We start from the raw sequence: 22,009 nt of genomic DNA, 5'->3' as shown, positions 1-22,009 counted from the left end.
ATATAAATTTTAGGATTGTCTTTTCCAGTTCTGTGAAAACTGATGGTGGTATTTTGATGGGAATTGCATTGAATTTGTGGATGGCAGTGGTAGCTAAGCTATGAGGATGCAAAGGCAAAAGAATGATACAATGGACTTTGGTGACTCAGGGGAAAGGGTGGGAGGGGATTTAGGGATAAAAAACTACATATTGGGTTCAACATATACTGCTCTGGTGATGGGTGCAGCAAAATCTCACAAATCACCACTAAATAACTTACTCATGTAGACAAATGCCACCTGTTCCCCAAAAACTCATGGAATTAAAAAAAAGTATGTAAAGGACATAAATCAACACTTTTCAAAAGAAGACACATAGATGGCCAATAAGCATGTGAAAAAATGTTCAACATCGCTAATCATCAATGAGATATACAAGTCAGATGGCTATTATTAAACAGACAAAAAATAATAGATGTTGGAGAGGACATGGAGAAAAGGGAACACTTATACACATTTGGCAGAAATGTAAATTAGTACAACCTCTATGGAAAACAATATGGATATTTTTCAAAGAACTAAAAATAGAGCTACAAATCAATCCAGCAATTCCACTACTGGATATCTACCCAAAGGAAAAGAAATTATTATGCCAAAAAGACACCAGCACTTGTAGGCTTATAGCAGCACTAGTCACAATAGCAAAGATATAGAATCAACCTAAGTGTCCATCAATGTATAACTCAATAAAGAAAATGTAGGAAAAACTGAATACTGTTTAGCCATAAAAAATAATAAAATCACGTGTTTTGCAGCAATGTAGATAGAACTGGAAGCCATTATCTTAAGTGAAACAACTCAGAATCAGAAAGTCAACTGCCACGTGTTGTCACTTATAAGTGGAAGGTAAATAATGTGTACACATGGACATGGATTGTGGAATAATAGTCATTGGAGACTTGGAAAAGTGAGAGGATGGTAGAGGAGTGAAGGATGATAAATTACTTGATGGGTTAATGCACACTATTTGGGTGATTATTATACTAAAAGCCCAGCCTTCACCACTACACAATATATCCATGTAACAAAACTACACTTGTACCCACTTAAATTTATAGTAAATAAATAAAAAAGGCCGGGCCTGATGGCTCACGCCTGTAATCCCAGCACTTTGGAAGCCAAGGCGGGTGGATCATGAGGTCAGGAGATCTAGACCATCCTGGCTAGCACAGTGGAACCCCGTCTCTACTAAAAAATACAAACAATTAGCCAGGCCTGGTGGCGGGTGCCTGTAGTCCCAGCTACTCAGGAGGCTGAGGCAGGAGAATGGCGTGAACCCGGGAGGCAGAGCTTGCAGTGAGCCGAGATTGGGCCACTGCACTCTAGCCTGGGCGACAGAGCAAGACTCTGTCTCAAAAAATAATAATAATACTAAAATAAATAAATAAATAGACTAACTATGAAAAATTCAAGAGAAAATAGGCCAATATCTGAAAACTCACTGGTTTATTTTAACAGGAGTTTTTACATGAAAGAAGAAAGGATCAATGAAATTTAAGACAAGTAAATATAAAATATCCAAACTGAAGAACAGAGAGAAGGAAAGAAGATTGGGAAAAAAAACAGAGCCTTAGTAAAAAATATGATGATATCAATCAGACTAAAAAATGCGATTCAAGTCACAGATGAAGAGAAAGAAGAGAAAGTAAAATAGCAAAATTTAAAAAATATTATAGCTGGAAATTTCCAATATTTGGTGACAAACACCCAAGATGTTCAGCAAACCCCAAGTAGAATAAATACAAATAAAATCATGTCTAGATATAACCTAGTCAAATTGCTGAAAACTAGAGATTAAAAAAATTAAAAAGCAGCCAGAGATAAAAAAGACCCACTACATACAGGGAACAAAAATAAGGATAGATGCTGACTTCTTATCAGGTACAATGGCAGCCGGACAATTTGTACAGTAAAAACATCCTTTAAAAATGAGAATGAAGTAGTGATATATTTATGTTTAAAAAGCTGTGAAAATTAATCACCGGAAGAATGTACTATAAGAAATGTTAAAATATGTTCCTCGGGTCATATGAAAAGAAATGAAGAACATGGAATCAAATAATAATAAAGTAAGACATATCAAAACAAAAAGTGAAGTACTGGCATGCTAGAGTTGGAAATTCATAACCTTAGATACCTAAATTAAAAAGGGAAAAAGACATACTCAGTGATATATGAAGATTTAAAAGAAGAGAAAATTCAGCCCAAAATAATGGGAAGAAATGATAAAGATAAGAGTATGAATCAATACAATAGAAAAAAAATGAAAAAATTAAGCCAAAGTTAGTTCTTTGAATAACTTTTGAATAACAAATAGAACTAGTTTGTCTAATAAAATTGACAAACTCCTAGCAAGACCAATCAAAAAATAAAAATTAAATGTAAGTTATCAAAACAATAAAGAGAGTAAAGCACTCACCAACATCTCATTCACAAATGCTATGAATATAAAAGAATAATTTGGAAATATTAAAAAGACTTTGGTAATAAATTTGACACATTTGATAAAATGAACAAATTTATCAGGAAAACACAAATGACCAAAAGTGACACAAGAAAAAGTTTAAAAACCTATATCTTTATCTATTACAAGAGTAGAATTTGAAATGTTAAATCTTTTCATGAAAAGAACTCTAGACCCAGTTGTTTTCTCAAATGAGTTTCATCAAACTTTTAAAGAAGAGCTCATTTTAATTTTACCTAAATACTTTCAGAAAATTGAAAAGGAGGGTAAAATTCCTAACTTGTTTTACGAACTGAATATAACCCTCTTATCAAAACCTGGAAGGGCATTATCAAAAAGAAAATTACACACCAATATCCCTCCAATCATAGGCACTGTCAAGAATTGCAAAATGTCTGGTAATTTATCCTATTTTCTTGCTAACAAGTTAACTGGCCACATTTCATTGTATTTTGGCAGAAAGCAGAAGACTCCTCCATAGTCAACAAATTTTTGTCAATTTCCTTTGTCCCCAAGCTGCTCAGAATGATGCTGATGGGCTCATATGAAAGCCTGCACAGACAGTTTGGTGTATTACAGCAAAGAAACCCTGAGCTTAAGGAATCAACGTTATTTATAATGGAGAGTAAGCTTTGTTCCAGAGATACACTATCCTATCTCTATTTTCCAAGATTGTTTACTATACAAACATCCTTGAAAACTGGAAACAATCCAATTAACCATCAACAAAACAATTAATAAACATCAGGAGAATAAGTGAAAATGCAACTGTATATTAATACAATATAATATGCAGAGCAGTTTAAAAAACTAAACTACAGATACATGTAACAACACAGAAAATGTAAAAAATAAAACTATTTCAAATAAAAGAAGCTCAATACAAAATATTAAATATGATTATCAAAAGTTCAAAAATGAACACAAGTAATTTGTAGTGAAAAAAATTCAGCATAATTTTTGGCTGTTGTGGGGAATAGAGAGATGCAGAAGGTGGAGGGTAGAAATATTGACTAAAAGGAGGCTTGAAATGACTCTCTGGGAGTGAGGAAAATGTTTTCAAAAAATCTTGATTATTACGTCAAATATCATTGATCATAAAATTAAGATCTGAGCATGTCACTGAACATAATATTGCTTTAATTTAGAGAGAAAAAAATTCTCAACTATTTTTCCAATTAATACTTAATTATATCAAATTACAAAAATAAAAGAATCCCAATGGGTCTGTTTTGAGTTGCTTTCTTCTCTAAGTTATTTCAAGAGAATTATCATGTTTGTAATAATCACATAACTCCTGGGTTCTCCACTCTTATTGCAAAATTTTGCTCTTCATTTTATATATATTGTTGCTGATTTAATGAGATTTTAAAAAATGTTCTGCTGTGTCACTGTTGCTATAATGGAAAGCTGCGTATTTCTCATACTATGGTGGTGAGTTAACCTTTCAACCATGGCCTCTAGTTTGAGCCTGTCTGTCATTTTCTGTTAGAAATTCCTGGGTGTTTCTGATAGCTTCATGGAGCTTTCTTAGTTTTTAGAATTGCTACATGTTTGCCTTTATTTTCATATCATGTTGGTCACTGCATTATCAGTCTGAGAAAGATAGTGAAAATCCTGTAATCACATTGACACTGAACTCAGAAATCTGGATATCTTTTCTCTGGGGAGGCTTTATCTTCCTCATTTGAAAAGAAATACAAATAATAAAGCAATCAAGTTCACCAGCCAATGATGATTTCATCTGGCCACATGTTGGTGGCTGAAAAAGAGATTTACTTCCTAAGTAGGCCCCAACAATTGACTATACATTATGAAAAGTATGCATGTAGCAATTGAAATTGCGGAACTCAACCTGGAACTGTCCTGCTGAAGTGTTCTGGGGGAGGGGATTAATATGGATTCTGGAGATGACTAATAGCTTGAGAATATAGATTATCCTGTCTCCTGCTAGTGGCTTCTCCCCACGGGCATACAGTACATGCTGTCCATCCTGGGGTGTAAACAGCAGAGGGCGTCTTTCAAAGTCGTTCCACTGGAATCTGATAAAGATCTAACCTTTTCAGCCCATAAATTTTAGACACTTTCAGATACACATTACTTTTTCTGTGAGGCACACTTGACATTTATGGTAGCTTTTAGTCTTTTTTTTTTTAATTTTTCATGTGTTTTTATTAGAAATAGGCACAGATCTTGCTCAACAAGATAAATGGGTCTGACCTCTGTTGTCTTTATTTTTCCACAATTGTTGCTTCATTTTCATCTATAATTCAGTCACTATTTCCTTTCGCAAGGAAATCTTGAGATAGGGATCTTGGTTTTATATTTTGTTTTTACATTACCTTCAAGCATACTGAAAACATTCTGCTATATCAGTATGATATAAATAGTGAAGTTGACTAGATTTCACCAAGTCAGTTTTTAAAATTAAAAAAAAACATACAGATGTTTTGCTGTTCCTGCTCCGTTTAGCAGTTTTTTTTTTTATTATACTTTAATTTTTAGGGTACATGTGCACATTGTGCAGGTTAGTTACATATGTATACATGTGCCATGCTGGTGCGCTGCACCCACTAACTCGTCATCTAGCATTAGGTATGTCTCCCAATGCTATCCCTCCCCCCTCCCCCGACCCCACCACAGTCCCCAGAGTGTGATATTCCCCTTCCTGTGTCCATGTGATCTCATTGTTCAATTCCCACCTATGAGTGAGAATATGCGGTGTTTGGTTTTTTGTTCTTGCGATAGTTTACTGAGAATGATGATTTCCAATTTCATCCATGTCCCCACAAAGGACATGAACTCATCATTTTTTATGGCTGCATAGTATTCCATGGTGTATATGTGCCACATTTTCTTAATCCAGTCTATCATTGTTGGACATTTGGGTTGGTTCCAAGTCTTTGCTATTGCGAATAATGCCGCAATAAACATACGTGTGCATGTGTCTTTATAGCAGCATGATTTATAGTCCTTTGGGTATATACCCAGTAATGGGATGGCTGGGTCAAATGGTATTTCTAGTTCTAGATCCCTGAGGAATCACCACACTGACTTCCACAATGGTTGAACTAGTTTACAGTCCCACCAACAGTGTAAAAGTGTTCCTATTTCTCCACATCCTCTCCAGCACCTGTTGTTTCCTGACTTTTTAATGATTGCCATTCTAACTGGTGTGAGATGGTAACTCATTGTGGTTTTGATTTGCATTTCTCTGATGGCCAGTGATGATGAGCATTTTTTCATGTGTTTTTTGGCTGCATAAATGTCTTCTTTTGAGAAGTGTCTGTTCATGTCCTTCGCCCACTTTTTGATGGGGTTGTTTGTTTTTTTCTTGTAAATTTGTTTGAGTTCATTGTAGATTCTGGATATTAGCCCTTTGTCAGATAAGTAGGTTGTGAAAATTTTCTCCCATTTTGTAGGTTGCCTGTTCACTCTGATGGTAGTTTCTTTTGCTGTGCAGAAGCTCTTTAGTTTAAAAAGCCAGGCAGAGACACAACCAAAAAAGAGAATTTTAGACCAATATCCTTGATGAACATTGATGCAAAAATCCTCAATAAAATACTGGCAAAACGAATCCAGCAGCACATTAAAAAGCTTATCCACCATGATCAAGTGGGCTTCATCCCTGGGATGCAAGGCTAGTTCAATATACGCAAGTCAATAAATGTAATCCAGCATATAAACAGAGCCAAAGACAAAAACCACATGATTATCTCAGTAGATGCAGAAAAAGCCTTTGACAAAATTCAACAACCCTTCATGCTAAAAACTCTCAATAGATTAGGTATTGATGGGACGTATTTCAAAATAATAAGAGCTATCTATGACAAACCCACAGCCAATATCATACTGAATGGGCAAAAACTGGAAGCATTCCCTTTGAAAACTGGCACAAGACAGGGATGCCCTCTCTCACCACTCCTATTCAACATAGTGTTGGAAGTTCTGGCCAGGGCAATTAGGCAGGAGAAGGAAATAAAGGGTATTCAATTAGGAAAAGAGGAAGTCAAATTGTCCCTGTTTGCAGATAACATGATTGTATATCTAGAAAACCCCATTGTCTCAGCCCAAAATCTCCTTAAGCTGATAAGCAACTTTAGCAAAGTCTCAGGATACAAAATCAATGTACAAAAATCACAAGCATTCTTATACACCAACAACAGACAAACAGAGAGCCAAATCATGAGTGAACTCCCATTCACAATTGCTTCAAAGAGAATAAAATACCTGGGAATCCAACTTACAAGGGATGTGAAGGACCTCTTCAAGGAGAACTACAAACCACTGCTCAAGGAAATAAAAAAGGATACAAACAAATGGAAGAACATTCCATGCTCATGGGTAGAAAGACTCAATATCGTGAAAATGGCCATACTGCCCAAGGTAATTTACAGATTCAATGCCATCCCCATCAAGCTACCAATGCCTTTCTTCACAGAATTGGAAAAAACTACTTTAAAGTTCATATGGAACCAAAAAAGAGCCCGCATCGCCAAGTCAATCCTAAGCCAAAAGAACAAAGCTGGAGGCATCACACTACCTGACTTCAAACTATACTACAGGGCTACAGTAACCAAAACAGCATGGTACTGGTACGAAAACAGAGATATAGATCAATGGAACAGAACAGAGCCCTCAGAAATAACGCCGCATATCTACAACTATCTGATCTTTGACAAACCTGAGAAAAACAAGCAATGGGGAAAGGATTCCCTATTTAATAAATGGTGCTGGGAAAACTGGCTAGCCATATGTAGAAAGCTGAAACTGGATCCCTTCCTTACACCTTATACAAAAATCAATTCAAGATGGATTAAAGACTTAAACGTTAGACCTAAAACCATAAAAACCCTAGAAGAAAATCTAGGCATTCAGGAAATCTGTGTCCATTCAGGACATAGGCATGGGCAAGGACTTCATGTCTAAAACACCAAAAGCAATGGCAACAAAAGCCAAAATTGACAAATAGGAGCTTTTAGTCATTTTTAATCAAATAGCTTTACTCAGCCTCTAAGGTTTTTAACTTGTTTTTGTTGTTGTTTTATTGAAGTATAACATACATGCAGGAAAGTGCATAAACTACAAATGTACAGCTCAATGAACTTTGAAACACACTTATGTAACCAGTTTCCAGATCACAATATTTAATATTACTGGCACTCCAGAAGCCTCCTCGTGCCTTTTCCTAGTACCGTTCTCCACCTTGACTTCTAATGGCATCGATTACTTTTGTCTATTTTTTGGAATTGCATGTAAATAGAAGCCTACAGTGTGTATTTCACCAAGTTCAAAGCTATTCCTCTAGCAATAACTTCTTCTTCTCATTGTTTTATAGTGTATTATAATATATAATAGTTATATATTTATTCATTCATTTCTACTCTTGATAGACATTTGAGCCATTTTTCAGTTTTTGATGAACATTCTTGTGCATGTATTTTAATAATAATAGTTAAGTATTTCTGTTGAGTATATTATTGTTGGGACAGAGAATACGTGTGTGTTGAGTTTTAATAGATGCTGTCAAATAGTTTTCTAAAGTAGTTTTACCATTTATACTCCCATCAGCTGTGCGTGAGATTTCTACCTACTCCACATACTCAACAATATGTGATGTTGTCAGTAATTTTCATTTTAGCCTTTCTAGTTTGTATGTAGTGGTATTACATTGTGGTTTTAATTTCTATTTCCTTGATGACTTATAAATGTACTCATCTTCTCACATGTTTTTTGGCTTCTTAGATACTCTCTTTTGTAAAGTATTTGCTCAAATATTTGCCTATTTTAAATTAAGTTGTCTGACTTTTATGAACTTAAAGGAGTTCTTTATATATTTTGAATACAAGTCCTTTGCTATAGCTATTTATTTAAAATATCTTCCATTGTGTGACTGCTCTTTCCCTCTTTAAGGGTGTCTTTTGATGTACAAACATACCTAATTTCAATATATGTAATGTACTTAATGCTGAAATATTGAAAGTTTTCCCCGAAACTGGAAACATGACAATTACTATTTATTGTCAACTGTTTTATTCTCTATACAGTTATGCATCACTTATCAATCAACTGGGATATGTTCTATGAAGTATTCCATTAGGCAATTTCATCATTGTGCAAACATCATGGAGTATACTTACATAAACCTAGATAGTATAGCCTATTTACTACACACCCAGACTATATGGAATAACCTTTTGCTCCTAGGCTACAAACCTGTATAGCAAACTACTATACTGAATACTATAGGCAATTATAACAAAATGATAAGTATTTGTATATCTAAGCATAGAAAGAACACAGTAAAAATATGGTATAAAAGATAAAAATGGTCTCCTGTATAGAGCACTTACCATGAATGGAGCTTGCAGGGCTGGAAATTGCTCTGGGTGGGTCACTGAGTGAGTGATGAGTGAATGTGAAGGCTCAGGACATTACTGTACACTGCTGAAGGCTTTATAAACACTGTATACTTAGGCTGCATTACATTTATTAAAATTTGTTCTTTCTTCAATGATAAATTAACCTTAGCTTACTACAACTTTTTACTTTATAAGCTTTTAAATCATTTTTTAAAACTGTTTGACTCTTTCATAGTAACATATAGCTTAAAACACAAACACATTGTACAACTGCACAAAAATATTTTCTGTCTTTACATTCTTATCAGATAAGCTTTTTCTAATTTTAAAACTTTTAATTTTAAAAAAACTTTTAAAACTTTTTTATTACAAACTAAGATGCACAGAGTCAGGATCATCAATATCACTGTCCTCTGTTTCTACATCTTGTTCCACTGGAAGGTCTTCAGGGGCAATAACACGAAAGGAGCTGTCATCTCCTATGACAATAATGCCTTCTGAAATACCTTCTGAAGGACTTGCCTGAGGCAGTTTTACAGTTAGCTTTAAAAAAATAAATAGAAGAGGTACATTCTAAAATAACAATAACAACTATAATATAATAAACATATAAACCAGTAACATAGTTGTTTATTATCATCATCAGTATTATATACTGTACATAATACTTTTATATGGCTGGCAGCATAGTAGGTTTGTTTAAATCAGTATCACCACAAATATATTAGTAATGCATTGCACTATGGTGTTATGACTGCTGTGACATTACTAGACAATAGGATTTTTTCAGCTTTATTATAATCTTTATTATTATTATGCAGAGACAGGGTCTCGCTATATTGTCCAGGCTGGTTTCAAACTCCTGGCCTCAAGGAATCCTCCCACCTTGGCCTTCCAAAGCACTGGGATTATAGGTATGAGCCACCGCCATCGTACGCTTATGGAACTACTGCCTTATAATGTGGTCTATTGTTGATTAAACTGTCTTTATGCGGGGCATGCTGTACCAGCCATAAACAAACATAAAACGAAATTTTAAAGCAATACTATTTATAAGAGTATGCATAAACATCAAATACCTAAAAACAAATCTAACAAAAAAGAGTTGTAAGATCTCTATAACGAAAACTGCAAAACATGATGGAGGAAATTTAAAGTCCTAAATAAATGGAGACATATACTATGTTCACGTATTTAAAGACTTCTGTAAAGATACCAATTACCATCAAGCTGATCTATAGATCAAATTCAATCAATAGATTAAATTCCAAACACTCTCAGTGGAAATTGATGAATTAATTTTTTGCACTTTATTTTAAAGAATAAGGGGCCAAAAATAACCAAGACAATGTTAAAAAACAAAGCTAGAGGTCCTTAAACTTGAAGTTTTTTAGTACGTCAGAATTATTTTACTATCATATTTATTTTATCAGTATGTTCTACTTAGCTTAGACAAATTGCTGCTTGTCCTAAATCCCTCCAGTTGTTTGAACTGAGTGGTCCTAAGCTTTGTTACAGTAGATCCCTAAAGAATTGTTTATCAGAGTTGTAGTTGGCCCCACTGTTACAAGGGACCCAACCCTTGTGGAAACTGGACATACCTTGAGCTTTGTTTTGGGCACATCCCTTATTTGCTTTTAGTGCATTTTCCTTTTGCTTTTCTTTTTTCCTCTTATAATCTCTAAGCTTCTTGCCTTTACTTATGCCTTTTATCTTAGTCTTTTAACTTTCATTTTAATATTTTAATCTCATTAATTGCTAATCTCTTTCCCTTCATTTTAAAGCCCAACTATTTTGTCTTATTATTTTTAGCCCAAAGTTTGGGAATAAAAAGTTGACTTCCCTGTGGGCTAGTCTTTCAGTTATTAGTTCTCACCAAACTCATTTGTGAACAGAACCATGAGGAGCTGAATAGTAGACAGTTTAATTGAGAAACCTTATACTCATTGAGGTCTAAAAATAGTATTTGTTTGTCTTGTATCTGCTGCCCACTGTTCTCTAACCCCCTCCCTGATAAGTAACAGAAATTCTAATTATTCTTGTATGTATCTGGTTAATAATCAATCAATCAAAAATATTAGTAATGTCATATGTACTCTTTGATGTTCTAATCCCTTTCCTTAATTTCCCTATTTTGCAGATGAGGAAGTTTGGATTAAGAAACCTGCCCAGGCTCGCCCGCTAGAAAGTCATAGAGGCAAGGTTTGAACCCTGGCAGTTTGACTTTAGAGCCCATAACCATTATAAAAAGCTCATTGAGAGAAACCATTACTTATGTAAGATAGCTCTTAATATATTTAGTATATTCATTTTTCATCAAGGGCTTTTATCTAACATACTTGAATAGGCCTCATGACTTCATAAAATCCTTGAATTTGAAGGAGACTTCTATGTGTATACAGTTCAGTTCTTGATATTTGCAGTAGTTGTGCTTTATAAAGTGACCATGAACACAGAATTAGCAAATACTGAGTCATTGCTCCTAGAGGAAATTTAGTGTTATTTTCCTTGGAAAAATACAGAGATAAGCTTTTGCGAGCATCTGGGAACAACATTTCTTATCAACTGATTAATACATAACCTTGTTTTATGTGTGTTTCTGTTTAAAGACATCATATTTAATATTTATTGTTAATTTATTACCAGTGAACTCATGGCCAACATCACTATAAATCATTCCTGAATAAAGCGTATCTAACATACATTTTCTGCATAAGGCACATCCCAGCCTTCTCGTGCTTAGGAACATTAAACAGCACTTCAGCACCATGCTTGGGAGCCATTTTAAACAGAGAAATCATTAACAAAATGCAAAAAATGTGAAAAAAAATGTGGCACTAAAGGATACTCGTTTACAGTTTGAGATCGGAAACAAAAAAGCAAAGTGTCACCCGTTTCCACATCAGCTGGGAATGTGCACATCAGGAAATTCAAAGTTTTTGATGTTTTGCACATGCATACATCTGATAATGACTTTGAAAGGACCTATGGTCTTTGAGGTTACAAGTACACTTTAGTGCGTAGGTGAATTCACAAATTCAGAATCTGTGAATAATGAGGACCAATTGTATATTATCTGCTGAGAAGAAGAAGCTTAGTGATCAGCAGATCCTTAAAAAAGTCTGTGACCTCTCACTCCTTAAGGCCAAAACCAAGACCCGGAATAAGTTAAAGTTACTAGATTATTTGACTCAGGCTAAGCGTATTGAGGATATCACGAGTGAACAGTATTATATTTGCACTTTGTATAATTCCTTCTACTGTATTTTGGTGTGAACAGCAATGTTTCACACTGAGGACTAAGGAACTACCTATGTAAATACACCCTCATTTACAAGTGAAAACTTGAAATTACCTAGTGACCAAATGACCTATTATATTAATGTCACTCATTGACATTTGTCAATTTTGTCAACTTTAATCAGTAGAATTTCTAGGATCATTGTAATGATAAAGATAAGGGAAGATTTTATTCCCAATGTTGTATAGAATCATATTTATAAGAACACAGAGAAGATTTTCCTCTAATGCCAGGACAAAGTAAGCATTTTTATCTGAAGCTACTGGCTTAGTTTTATCAAGGGCACATTATAAATCTTACAGTGATTTTCTTTCTCTGCTTAATGTTCACTGCTAGAAAACTTAGCCAAATGTATGGTCCAACATCAGCTTATGTATATATGTATATTATCCTTTTGATTTTATCTTTTCAAGTATTATTTTACATATGTTCAAATTTTCTCACCTTTCCTTTTTATATTTTATTTTATTTCCCCTTAAATCATCTCTTAAACAAGAATGAGTATACATAAATAAGTTCTGCATATAGAATTGTTTTCATTTACAATCTTTTAAAATTCCAATGGGGAAATGATAGGTACCAGTATAAATGTGACTGCTGATAATTTCTGTCCAAATAAAAGGATCAAATAAATAAATTTCTTAGGCATGACATCAGACCTAGGGAATCAGTAACCCTGAGAGAGGGGTCCAGCAAGCTGGGTTTCAACAAGACCTGTGGGTGTTGGGATGCACACTCCACATTACTCCATGGGAAAATAGGTATCACATGGGTCTCACTCACGCTCTCTTTTGCCCTAAAAACAATCTTGACTGTGCATGGGCAAGTTTTCAACCTTGATTGTGTACTGGAATCATCCAGGAAGATTTTTGTAATCATGACATGCCCCAGAGCAATTACAGGAGGAGTTGAGAACCAGTTATCAATATTTTTTTTAAAGCTCCCAGGTGTTCTGATAGGCAGTCAAAGTCGAGAGCAAATTCTCTGTCTCTAAAGACAGGTTCATAGGTCCAGTCATAAAATTAATGAATATTTTCGGCATCTCTGAGTAGTTCTTCAGGCTTAATCTTCCTCCAAGAAATCCAAACTGCTATGTAGCTGTGTCATTTTGAGAAATTAATAAGCTGCATTCCCATCTCACTGCAACATAAATACCATGCTAGTCAAAGATTTAAATGTTTAAAATATTGAGTCTATAAAAGTACTAGAAGAAAATATGTTGAAATTCTGCAAAATCTTTAGGTAAAAAAGGCCTCAGAATAAATAACTGTGGCATAAACCAGAAGCAGCAGCAGGAGGCCAGATAAATCCCACTATGTAAACATGGGTACAGAATGATAATGATATCAATTATGAGCAGGCAGATTATTTCCTATGTTCCCTTTGACTTCTCTACAGTATTAACTTAAGCATGAGAACTGAACCTAGTCTTCATTGATACAAAGTGAAGAGACACCTCATGTTAGTCAAAGATAATTATGTCAGGTTCTTGGCCTTTCTGTGGCCCAATTTAAATACCAAAAAATTATGGGAGATAACTCTGAGCCAGTTTTAGTCTATCTAAAAGGAAATAAAAATTTTCTCAAAGGTAGGAGAAGGAGGTTTGGGGATCTAAGAGTGACAGGAGACTTGTACCCCATCCTTGTCTGGAACACCAGGAGGGAAGGTCCTTCACAGGAGTTGCGACTGGCATCACAGCATCATGGGACCAGTGAAGATGAAGTAGGAGAGCTGAGGCAATCCCACCAATTTCCTGTAGCTCCAGAGAGCAACGGAGGAGAAGATGAAATTACCCTGAAAAGTACACAGCTGTAAGTTCTGAGAGAGACCTATGGGACCTGAAGAGATCTCATTGGTTGTAACAAGAGCATACACCAGCAGATGGCAGCAGATGGTTGTAACAATAGGAAACCAGCAGGTGGCTGCCACGGGGTTGGGGAACACAGCCATTTTAGTGAGGCCAATCATCGGTGGGTGTAATGGCCAGCTCAGCAGATGCAAACAGGAGCAGAACCCAGCTGAGGGACCAATCATATTCCCCCAACACCATGACCCTCAGAGAACACCCAGAATTTACAGTATCCCCAGGGAGAAATAGAGGTAGAGGAGTAGAGGAAATCCTGAGTTGACCTTGTTTAAACTTGAAATGGATGGAATTACACTGGAGTGAATGCAGTTCACCTGTTATCACGTGAAACAGAGGAAGGGCTGGAGGAATGCCAAGAATATGAACAAAATTGAAGTACTCAGAAATGAAGGAAAATGTTATTTTTAATTTTTTATATACCTGAATATAGCCTGAGAAAATGATACCTTAGAAACTCTGCAAAGCAAAAAAATTATAAATTGTCAAAAGACAAACTTAGAAAGTGAGAGCAAATATTGGCAAAACAAGGGGCTAATTTTCTTTTTCTTTTTCTTTATTTGACAGAGTCTTACTCTGTCGCGCCCAGGCTGGAGTGCAGTGGCATGATCTCAGCTCACTGCAGCCTCCGCTTCCCAGGTTCAATGATTCTCCTGCTTCAGCCTCCCGAGTAGCTGGGATCACAGGCATGTGCCACCATGCCTGGCTAAAATTTGTATTTTTAAAAGAGATGGGGTTTCACCATGTTGACCAGGCTGGTCTTGAAATCCTGACCTCAAGTGATCCGTCCAACTGGGCCTCCCAAAGTGCTAGGATTACATGCGTAAGCCACCATGCCCGGCTAATTTTCTTGATATACAAAAAACTTTCAGTACCTTTTAAAAAGTTTACTTTTTATTAAACAAGGAGAACTATACAATAAGTACTGTGCAGTTCACCCACCTGGAATATACCCTCATTTCTGGAATTTTACACTGGAATAAAGAGAGCAAATAAAATAAAGTGGTCAAAAATTCAATCTGTGTAAAAAAAAAAACATACCTAATTGACACTTTTATTACTGAGAAAACATTTGGCTGAAAGATCTGAATTTACAATATATTAGTTAAATCTTAGCATATCATCCTTTCTTTTTCCAAATTGCAGCGTCATAGAATTGACATGCTAGCTGTCCTTTCCTTCTTTGCCTAGATCACGAGAAACTGTGCATGCAAATCATTCACTGGTTCCAAGAGTTTCCCCTCTAATAAGTCAGACTACAAAGAAACCCATTCTACCCACCTTTCCCTCCTCTTTCTCCCATTAATAATCAATATTAGCCAACCCCATTTAATTTTAAAGAATCGCCTTTGAATTATTTTTCAGGAATAGACAAAACTAACGGTAAGAGGTCAACATCCTCAAAGCCACTGTTACGTATTCCAGGCTTTAGTACATTATTCCTAATGGTGTCCCAGAAGTCTAGATATTTTCAACTTAGGATGATTAATAAACATTAACAAATTTTTTAGCCTAGTGTGGTGGGGTGTGCCTGCAGTCCCAGCTACACAAGAGGCTGAGGCAGGAAGATGGCTTGAGCTCAGGAGTTAAGGGATGTAATATGCTATAATCCCACCTGTGAATACCCACTGTGAAATAAAGAAAAAGTAAAGAAATTAAAAATTTTAAATTCGTTATTACATATTTGCACCCATTCTTCAAACTATCAAATATTACTGTGAATGTATCATAATTTATCCAGTTATCCATCATTTAACTGAAATGTGTTTTTTCCTCATTAATGTACTTATTAAAAAGGGGTAAACTTTTTTTAGATATATTAATATATGTTATCTACATTTTTTCTATTTTTACCTTATTTTAACTTTGCTATACAACTATACCCCTTTGTCATAGATTTAAGATAGTTCGACTTTTGCCCTGCATCCCTTACACCCTCAGTATATTCAAAGACTTTGCCCCTGCAATTATCTCTTCTCTCATTTGTATCATTAATTTTTCCTTCTCTATTCTATCATTCCCATCCTCACAAAATAACTACTGTAATAACTCCTTTCTTTAAAAAAGAAAGATTAAAACTCTCTCCACAATTCCACTTTATTGCTTCTAATTACACAACCACTCAAAATAATTGTCTTTGTTCATTTTCCACATTTTCATCTCCCTCCCATTCTCTTTTGAATCCACTCACACTACTGCTTTCAGTCTACTCTGGTTAAGGCCACCCATCATCTCCATATTATCAAATCCAGTTCTCTGAGTTCATTTACTTAAGAATGGGCCAGTCTTCATTAAAAAAAAAAAATCCTTATTTAGCTTCTGGGACTCCTAGTTTTCTTTGTATGTTGCTGTCTCCTCCTTCCTGATTTTCTGCTGGATTCACTTTCTCATATTAATTGTGGAGCCCCCTGAGGCTCAATATTTTGGACTCCTCTCTATTTACACTCACCCCCAGGTAATGAATTGCAAATATCATTTATAAGTTGGTGAGTTCAGTAGTTTTTATCTCAAGTCCCAACCTCTCCTCTAATCTCTAGAATCTTATAAAAACAGCTTATATATAGATTGTCTCCCTTAGATGTCCTAGTAGGAATAACAAAGTTGAGATGCCCAAACGAGAACCACTGATACCTCCCCAACCATCCCAAACTATTCCCCAACTTGCTCTTCCTCCAGTATTCCATATCTTGGCAAATAGCACCAACATTTCTCAGGATGCAAACTTTGCTCCTTTCCTTGATGTCCCTTTCTCTCACAGTACACATCCAATCCATCAGTAAATTCAACTGGCCTACTCGCACAATTCAGAATCTGACCATTTAGCACAATCTTTACCACTCTCAACATGATCAAAACCATCAGTTTCTGTCTCTAGGAATTTTGCTAGCCTAAATGATCTCCCTCCTTTACGCCATCACCATGCCTCCCCTTCATTGTTTATTGTCCATTTGAAAGCCAGAGTAATATTTTTCCAATGAATTAGGTACTCTCCTTCTCCAATAGCTTTTTATCATACTTATAATAACATTAAAATCCCATACAAAGCTTTACATGAGCTGGTCCCTGGCCAAATTACCAATTTCATTTCCAATTTATTCTTCCTCTCTCTCTTTGCTCTAGCCACACTGGTGTTTCTGTTTCTCCCAAACATAACCAGCATGTTCCTAATTCCAAGTCTTTTCCCTTACTATTCCCTCTACCAAGAATGATCTTCTCCCAGATGTCTTTCTGGCTTGCTCCCTGGCTTCATTAAGGTCTCTGGTCAAATGTTCTTTTCCCTTACTCTCACTCCTCCCTATCCCCACATCAAACACAGAATCCTCCTTAACTTCTATCATCTTCCCCTACTTTAATTTTCCTCTTGATTCTTCTGACTCATGGTATTATTTCTATATCTACTTGTTTGTTTATTTTCTTTCCTCCACTGATCTTGAGAGATAAAGAGTTCTACTTTATTTAATCCTTTATCCCAGGCATCAAGACTAGAGTCTGGCACATAATAGTTGTTCAATAAATATATGTTGAATGAAAGAAAGGATAAATATTTAGCTCTCTAGTTTCACTGTAATTTATTTTAGTGTATAGTGTATTAAAAGAACCTAAACAGTGTTACTTCAGCATAGCTAACTAGTTTTATGAAATCCATTTATGATACACATTTTTGCTTCACAGTCGTTTATAATACCTCCATATCATTTATTAAATTACATAATAAGTTATCTTTGGGGGCTGTTTAATGTATTTCATTGTTTTCTATGCCAGTAGAACTTCTAAAAATAGTTATATGATATATTTTAATATTTGATAGAAATAATCTCTCTAGATTATTCTGATTTACAAAATTTCTTAATTATAATAGCTTTTAATTCTTTCAGAGCACTGTTAGAAACACTTTGCCAACTTGTAAAATTATTCATTGGGATTTTCATAAAAACTATAATTGATTTTGAAATGGTTGATAACTTAAATGTATTAATTCTTCCTAATATGATAAGCATCCCTATTTATTAAAAACTAAGTGGAGTGTTATAGTATTCCTCATAAGAGTTTCACAGATTGTTCATTAAGTATTTTCTTTGTAGTTTATTTTTAATGGCATTGAAAATGAATTTTCCACACTGTACTTTTTATTTATGTAAATAAAAATAAAAATACTTATTTACTTATTTTTATTATTAAAATATATAAAGGCTATTGATTTTGCCTTTTAAAAAGATTTTCCTTTGTGTTATTTTCATACCGTCAGTTGACACCAACCAATGAAAATATAATTAAATTATTAACCATATCTCTTTATCACAGATGATGCCTATTTTTAAATCAACTTTCTGGTGAAAAATAATGAGAACTACAACAACAGTAATAATAACCTCCAGTTAGCCAATGTGACAAAATGGCAAAAGAATTCAATTTTGGAGCTTCTTTAAACATTTTTTTTCATCTTAAAATGCTACATAATTAAATATGATTGGATTGGACTTTTATGGCATAAAAATTTCAAAGTCAAACTCTCAGTTACTACTTGCTGGATTATCTGTAGAATCCTTTTCATATTCCACTTCCTTCCCCCTCCCAAAGCTCGTTGCCCTCTCTCCTAACCATTCTGCAGCCTGATGATATGCTCTTGATGATTCCAAACTAAGGCCAAACCAAGAAGTCAGGGACAGACTTGGGGGCAGGTGTGTTGAAAGCATGAGTGGTGGTGAGAAGTCATGGAAAAGCAGTGTGTGCATTTTTATTAGAATGAGCTTCTTGCTGAGTCTCTCCATTAAAAAAATAATGTTACTACTAAAAATGTCCCTCCCATGATAGATGTTGTTTATTTTACACAGAAAAACATTTCCTGACGGCTGTTTTTCAACATTTAATCTTGTGACAATAAGAAAACATGAGGTAAAATATATTAAATACACTCAATATGCATTACACATTTCTGAATCACTATTCAATTTTACTAAGTGAACACACAGTAATTAGTTTGATCCTCTTTAAGAGAACAAAGCATTGACTGATTTCATTGTGCTGGGTAAATCAGTCACTATATGCCTTTCATTCATGGTTAGCACATCTCATGTTGCCAGAGTGGAATTTTTTGGGGGCTTCTGAGTCTGTTCATCAATCTCATGAAATTGATGGGTTGAACAGCACTGAAGACAAGGGAAAGAAAGCTCTGAAGTCCATGAGCAATGTGGTGGACTAGTCAGCAGAGGTGATTACAACCCCCACAGTTCTGGGCTCCAGCTCCCCAAAGGCAAGCAACGATGGGCAAGGGAGAATGACTTGGTACGTGCCAAGTCTCACAAATAGTCAAAATTACCTTTGCAACCTTTATTGTAGTAGTATTCATAGTTCCCCTTGTCATTTAATTAAGACCATTTTCCTCCCACTCTGAACCCCACCCCAAATAATTTACTGCCCATTTTAAACTGTCTAAAAGGTTTGGTGTACACATGTGTGTGTGTTTATGTGTGTACAGAGAGGGCTAATTTAAAAGCAAGTCCTATGAGATGTCAGCATCATTAAATTCCTTTTAAACATAATTAAGATACATTTAAACCTCAAGATATGACAGCTTCTTCAATACAAAGTTTTGTCCTTTGCGTGCTGTCTCTACACACAAGTAATTTTCCTTAATATTACCCAACAATAGAGAAGGAAACCCCTAGAGCAAGGAGCTATGGCTATAGCAGAAGCTAAGCTGTTGCCCTGCTCTTTCTTCTTCATTTGAAACTCATCTTCTTTTGATTGTTTGTTTTCCTTTAGTCATCTCTGAACTTCTTCAGCAACCTCCTAAGCCATCTCGTAACTTCTGCATCCTCCAAAGTTGAAGATCTCAGATGTTTAGATACTTTTGGTGTATCTGTCTTTGACCCAGGTGTGGATGTATTTTATATATTTCTACATCATGTGGTTAGTCATTTTCTGCTGGCAAATCAAACACACCTAAGTTTGAGATCTATGTCTTCTGCTTTTGCCTCCTGACATATTGCTTCCATTTGTTCATTATCAGAAGGTCAGTGGGAGCAAATGCAAAACCGGACCATAAACGTGTCTACTTTTCTCATTAGAATACAAAGTGAAAGGCTGTAACTTTGCAGATGCATCAACCCACCATTCTACATCAACGTGGTAACAGGATCTTCACTTCAATCTGCCAAAATTCCAAGTTTTAGGATGAGGACGACAACTTTGATGAAGGGACTTCAGAATATGAGCTCACTCTGTGGAGTGACACTCAGGACATGATCCATTTTCACATGTTCACCACTAGCAGGAGCACCACTGGTGGGTGAGGAGACCCCTGAGAGCTCAATTTTCATAAAGATGTAACAGTAACAGTAAAAAGGCTTGTCTGGGTAGATAACTTATAGGATGGGACAGAAGGGCAACTGTGTATTCATCTGGCATTGGTACATCTTATTTTAGTTTCTTATTCTTACAGTTTTTGGTCATTTTTTTCTGTATATATTTGTAAGTAATTATACCATCTGAAAATAATAATAATCTTGTATTTTCCTTTCTAAAAATTATACCTCTTCTTTTGGTTTTGTATCTTATGGCTTTAAGGATTAGTGTTCTTAGGACAATTAGATAGCAGTGATAATAACAAGTATTTTGTTTTCCATCTGATTTTAATTGGATACTCTTAAGAATTAAGTCAGCTATTGATTTGAGATGAATATTGTTATAGAAACAACATGTTAAATTTCATGTGAGTTCTAAAAAAACTTTTTTAAATAAGAGTATATACTTTTTCCAGATTTTTTCTCATTTTATTGAAATTAGCCAATTGCTTTTCCTTTTCTGACCTATTAGTTAAGAAGTAATTTACTAATTTCTTTCTTAATATTCAACTTTGTATAATGCATGTGATTTTAAATACAAGATGGAAAAACCAGACCACCCTCTGAGAAATGTTTAATCACTAAACACATTGTATACATTTCTGTCATATAAGAGATTTATATTTAATCATGATCCCAATCAGCAAGTGTCTCTTCCCACTAAAGGGAACAAATTATAACTTTTCACTGCTGCAGTAAACAGCAAACAGATTGCTGTTTACACAGAAAGAGGAAAAACAGACATAGGACAGAGCATGAAGATTAGAAACAAGCTATTCCCTCCTTAATACTAAGTAAATAGCAGCAGGCATTTTACAGAGCACATTAAAGGGAACAGACTGCTGTAGAAATCAATTGATAAAGACTTGTTAAATGAAAGCAAACTCTGAGCAATTATATTAGCAAGCAATTAGAATAATCTGTAAATGGTAGTAAGGACCCCACAACAAAGAAACCACATGGATTGCTGCCCCTTCCTTTTGTGCTCATAGTATTATTGGCTCGTTTCCATTAAACAGTAATATATTTAGTATTGAAAAGGAAATAATGGGACAATAGGACTTATGAGCTGCTGTTATGGCATTAAACAGAAAGTGCCCTTATACTGTGTAGTCAGAGAAAATTTGTCTCCAGCTGAGACTCCAGCAAGTAAATGACTATTCTTGCCAAGAGGAGATCTATTTAACTCTCTCTATGTTAAAAGCTTAACAGAGAAATTCACAAACAGAAAGAACCCTGATCATAGCCAAAATGCAGCAGACAGACACACTGAGTAGAGCATGAATGATTGGAGAGTCCTGCATGGCACCAGCGCCCTATAGAATATACTGAAGGCCAATTTCATAAGAAGTAAGTGATACATATTTAGGAAGGGGTATCTTTTAGGAAAAATATGGTGGGATATAACACCAGAAAATCCTTGGTCTGAATCTTGGTCAAGATATACTATGTGGCCATTAGCAATTTTTTGAGACTATTTTTGTTTTATCTGTAAAACGGAAATATTAATAATCACCTTGAGAAGATATCAGAACTGCATGAAATAGATGTGTGTGGCACAGGGCCCACATATGGTAAGGGTTCACTAAGAGATGGTTTGTGACTTTATTATTACTGAAGGAAACCTTGGGTAAT

The 22,009-nt window shown here is 35.1% G+C and overlaps 1 annotated feature.

The window, feature by feature from the left end:
• Positions 13,832–14,354: an enhancer, noted in NCBI's record as "NANOG hESC enhancer chr7:113061672-113062194 (GRCh37/hg19 assembly coordinates)". NCBI's record gives its function as "activates a minimal SCP1, AML or CMV promoter by ChIP-STARR-seq in naive H9 embryonic stem cells {active_cell/tissue: H9 hESC(naive)}" and the evidence as "EXISTENCE:reporter gene assay evidence [ECO:0000049][PMID:30033119]".

Source organism: Homo sapiens, chromosome 7 (assembly GCF_000001405.40).
Source record: "Homo sapiens chromosome 7, GRCh38.p14 Primary Assembly".
In the NCBI taxonomy this organism is placed as follows: domain Eukaryota; kingdom Metazoa; phylum Chordata; class Mammalia; order Primates; family Hominidae; genus Homo; species Homo sapiens.
The sequence above is the reverse complement of the archived record's forward strand: the minus strand, read 5'-3'. Positions and strand labels throughout refer to the sequence as shown.